This window comes from Homo sapiens, chromosome 4, assembly GCF_000001405.40.
Source record: "Homo sapiens chromosome 4, GRCh38.p14 Primary Assembly".
In the NCBI taxonomy this organism is placed as follows: Eukaryota; Metazoa; Chordata; class Mammalia; order Primates; family Hominidae; genus Homo; species Homo sapiens.
In genome coordinates this window covers 156408744-156413974 of record NC_000004.12, presented here as the reverse complement: position 1 = coordinate 156413974, position 5231 = coordinate 156408744, and positions in this window count along the sequence as shown.

The following is a 5231-nucleotide window of genomic DNA, read 5'->3' as shown; positions in this document are numbered from 1 at the left end:
CTCTCTGTTGCATCTGAAGAGATGCCAGGCCAATTTCAGATCCTGGTGGCTTTCATTTCCTTTCTCATAGAATACTCTCTCTTGAAGTTTAAGCAAACATATAAGAAAGTAACTAACCACTGAGGAGATAATGTACAGAAACCATGAGAATACATAGAGAGGAAGAATGGACCAACTCAGCACAACCTTTAAATCATGCTCATGAACATGTCAGACATGGAAATACAGCCTTTTCTGGACTGTGCAGATTAGCCCAGCTGCCAGCTGAATATCACCCAGTGACCACAGTCACTTAGAGCAGAAGAATCAGTCAGCTGAGTCCTACTCGAGTTTTTGAACCACATATCTGGATTATAAAGGATAATTGCTTTAATCCGTAGTTTTAGGGTGGTTTGTTATGCAGAAATAGATAAACAGAAGACATGGATGTGAGGAATCCTGTTTGGTGGGTGTGGCAAGGGCTGCAGCTATCTATCCCACTCTCACTTCACCCTTAAAATCTGAATCTCAAATATGTGGTGGCTGTATGCCCAGTTTAATAACTATAACTCTTTCTAGCCTCCCTTGAAAGTCTGTGTGGTCAAGTGACAAAGGTCCACCCAGAGACATAAATGGAAATGATGTTTACACACTCTGGAAAATGTCTTTTAACTGTTTTTTCCTTTCTTCTCTGGACCAAAACATGGATATAGTCATTTGTGCTATGTCCATCATCTTGGACCCTGAAGAAGAAAGAAGACTTCACACTTGAAAATTTAGAGCTTAATGCTGTAAGGATCTTGAAATTTTGTGACTTTGAGAAGTTAGTGAACTTATTTTTCATGATCAAAAAGTATATATTGTATCAGCCACTGGTGCCTCAAACTTTTTTATGTATGAAGCCAAGACTAACAAATTAATGGGTAATTAAACAAGCAGGATAATGGGGCAGGGCATAATTTATTTCCAGCAATTTTAACAAGATAGAAATAAAGTAATAAGACTCATTTTGATGCACTTTGCTCTGTTGCGTTTTGCATATATTGTATTTTTTTACAAATTGAGAGTTTGTGTCAACTCTGCATTCAGTAAGTTTATGGGGCACCATTTTCCAACACTATGTGCTTTGTGTCTCTGTGTCACATTTTGGTAATTCTCATAGTAGTTCCAATTTTTCATTTACTTTATATCTATTATACTGATCTATGATCAGTGAACTTTGATGTTGCTATTGTGATTGTTTTGGGCAACACGAATCATGCCCATATAAGAGAGCAAACTCAACTGCTAACTGTTGTGTGTGCTCTGCCTACCCCAAGTACCAGCCATTCCCCCATTACTCTGCCTCTCCTCCGGCATCCCTATTCCCTGAGACACAGAATATTGTAACTAGGTCAATTAAGAACCCCATAGTAGCCTCTAAGTGTACGGGTTAAAGGAAGAGTAGCATGTATCTCACTTTAAATCAAAAGTTAGAAATGATTAAGCTTACTGAGGAAGGCATGTTGAAGCTGAAATAGGCTGAAGTCTAGGCCTCTTGTACCAAACAGTTAGCTAAGTGAATACACAGATGATAAGAAAGCAAAACAGCTCTATTGCCAATATGGAAAAAGTTGAGTGGTCTGGATAGAAGAATAAACCTGCCACAACATTCCCTTAAGCAAAAGCCTAATCAGTAAGGCCCTAATTCTTAATTCTGTGAAGACTGTCAGCAGTGAGGAAGCTGCAGAAGGAAAGCTGGAAGGTAGCAGGGATTGCTTCATGAGGTTTAAGGAAAGAACCATCTCCTTAACATAAGATTGTGAAGTAAAGCAGCAAGTACTGAGAGAGAAGCTGCAGTAAGTTATTCAGAGGATCTACCTAAGATAATTGTTAAAGGTGGCTACACTGAAAAACAAAAACAAAAAACAAGCATATTTCCCATGTAGATGAAATTGCCTTATATTGCAGTAAGATGTCATCTAGGACTACTATGGCTAGAGAAGAGGAGTCAATGCCTGGCTTCAAAGCTTCAAAGGACAGGCTGGCTCTTTTTTAGGGGTCAATGTAGCTGGTTATCTTAAGCTGAAGTCAATGTTCATTTATCCTTTCAAAAATCCCAGGGCACTTATGCATTATCCTAAATCTACTCTGTCTGTTCTCCATAAATAAATGAACAAAGCCTGGATGACAGCACATATGTTTATGGCACGGTTTACTGAATAATTTAAGCCCACCATTGAGACCTGCTGCTCAGGAAAAAAAAAGGATTTTTCTCAAAATACTAGTGTTCAGTGATAATGCCCCTCAAAACTCTGATGGAGATATGCAGGGAGATTAATGTTGCTTTTATGCCTTGTAACACAACATCCATTCTGCAGCCCATGGATCAAGGATTTATTTCAAGTCTTACTAATTAAGAAATAAATTTTGTAAGTCTACAGCTGCCATAGATAGTGATTTCTCTGACGGATCTGGACAGAGTAAATTGAAAACCATCTGGGAAGGATTTACCATTTTAGATGCCATTAAGAACATTCATGATTCATGGAAGGACGTCAAATTATCAACAATAGCAGCATTTTGGAAGAGGTTGATTCCAACCTTCATAGATGACTTTGAGGGGTTTAAGACATCATTGGAGGAAGTAATTGGAGATATGATGGAAATAGCAAGAGAACCCGATTCAGAAGCTGACCTTAAGGTGTGACTGAATCAGAGCAATCTTACAATAAAACTTGAAATAATAAGGAGTCACTTCTAGATAAGCAAAGAAAGTGGTTTCCTGAGTTGAAATCTACTCCTGGTGAAGACGTCGTGAACATTGTTGAAATGACAACAAAGGATTTAGAATCTTCCATAAACTTAACTTGATAAGGCTGCAGCAGAACTTGAGATGATTGACTGCAATTTAAAAATAAGTTCTGTAGGTAAAATGCTATCAAACAGCATTTCATTATACAGAAAAATTTTCTGTAAAAGCAAGTCAATTAATGCAGCAAACTTCATTATTGTCTTAAGAAATTGCTACAGTCACCCAAAACTTTAACAACTACGATCCTGACCAATCAGCATTTGTAAACACTGAGGGAAGACCCTCCACCAGCAAAAAGGTTGGGATTTAATGCAGGCTTCGATGATTGTTAGCATTTTTGGCAATAAGGTATTTTTAATTGTTTGCACATCATTTTTTCTTTATTAGATGTAATGCTATTGCACACTTACTAGACTACAGTATAGCATAAACATAACTTTATATGCACTGGGAAACAACAACAAAAAAACTTGTGTGACTTCCTTTATTGTGATATTTGCTTTATTCTAGTGGTCTGGAACCAAACCCACAGTATCTCTGAAGCATGCCTATGTCATTTAGCTGGGCCTTGAGATCCTAATAGTCAATGATCATACATGGAATCTTTCATTTGTTCATCTCCACCATTAGCTAAGATCCAGAAATTGTATTATACATCCTAGTATATATTAGCCAATTACTGGCCGTTTGATTTATTTAATCATGGTCTTATTTTCTATTTCTTAATTTAATATTTTATTATATAAAATGTAGAAAGTAATGTAACAATACTATAGCCACCCACACCATAGAAATAAAAATTACAAAACTGAAATATTATGTATATCTCCGTCCCCCCAGGCCACTGTATTTCAGCCTGGGAGACAGAGTGAGAGTCCTCCTTTAAGAAAACCTTACAGGTTCAGAAAAATGCAGAGATGAACAATAATATTGTTACTGGGCTCTTTGAAAAGTCAGTGCTATTCTGAACATAGAATCTTAATACATTTTCTAAAATTCATAATTGTATTGACACCTGGAGGTACTAGATATGAATGCCCACTGAAGAAAAGGGAGAAATTGCCTTGGGGCAGAGAACTACATGGGCCATATGGTTTCTATTAACTCTTAAAGATACAGAGGAAAGAAGCAAGCTTTCAAGATCCTCTTCACTTAATTTTCAGTTTTGAGTTCTAGAGATTTTTTTGAATATTGCAATTGTGTTTTCTTTATATTTATTCTTTAAGTTTGGTGCTGGCTATAGAACAGATGACATGCAGAGAAGGGAGTTTATTCAAGTCTGATTCATAGTTCCCTCAACTACACTAACTCATTCAAGATTGATTCACTACGCCTTTATAATAATTCTAACTTCTTTATAAAGTCAATGAATGTTCTGCTTTTTAAAAAAAAACTGTGGTAAGAAAATTTAGGGTAAAAGAATACACAAGTCAGCTAGGCACAGTATCTCATGCCTGTAATCCCAGCACCTTGGAAGGCTGAAGTGGAGGATGACTTGAGCTAAGAAATTCAAGATTGCAATGAACTATGATTATCTCACTGCACTTCAGTCTGCGCAATAGAGTGAGACCCTGTCTTCAGAAAAGAAATATGCAATACATCTTTTCGCATATTCGTGTAGTCTTTTGAGTTTTTTATTCCTAAGGAGAGATTTGGACTATAAGCAGAAAAAAAGAAAGCCTTAGCAAAAACTTTCAAACAAAAAGCCCTGGGGGAGAGTATATAGGGTGCCCCAGAACTAATCATGCACCTGGACACACACATGTGGGACCCCAACAGGTAACCTCATAGAAAAACTAGGCCACTTTTAATATAGCCATAATTCCTAACATATTTTGTTCTTGCACCAATTTCTTTCTCTATCTCCTGTGTTTTCTTAACATCCAAGATGGGCTTATTAATCATTATTTCAAGTAAAATAAGTATATTGAATATGACTTTTCCAATTATGTGTGTCCCTCTTGTGTTGAATCATGCTTTTGGGAATCAGTAGTGTAGAGGTTGATATGCAAAATTGTCTTTTATAAATCTTTGGTGTCAATTTTAAGGATGGAGGAACACTCTGTCTCTGCCTTGTGGTTTGGAGAAATCGAGAGGGAATGAGTCGTGTGAGTGAAGGCAATAGGGCACAGATTGGGGTACACTTCCAAAATGACTGATTTTGTGATGCACCCAGAACCCTTCCGAAGCCCACTTTGGAACACATTTCTTTCAGACTCCTACAATGCCATCATAACTACATTATTCAATAGGATGAGTCATCAGGAAAATATGCTGTAATTTAAGAATTAACTTATATTGGATCAAATCCTCATAAATATTTATAAGGAGCTTAAGTTAGGGCCCAGTAAGTAGTTGGTTGTATGTAAGTATTAATAAATTGTATAAGAAAATTAGATCTGGAGATGAAGTTGTTTGGCTTCATTTGATGGCCTGAAGCTTTTACGTTTGTCTGTTT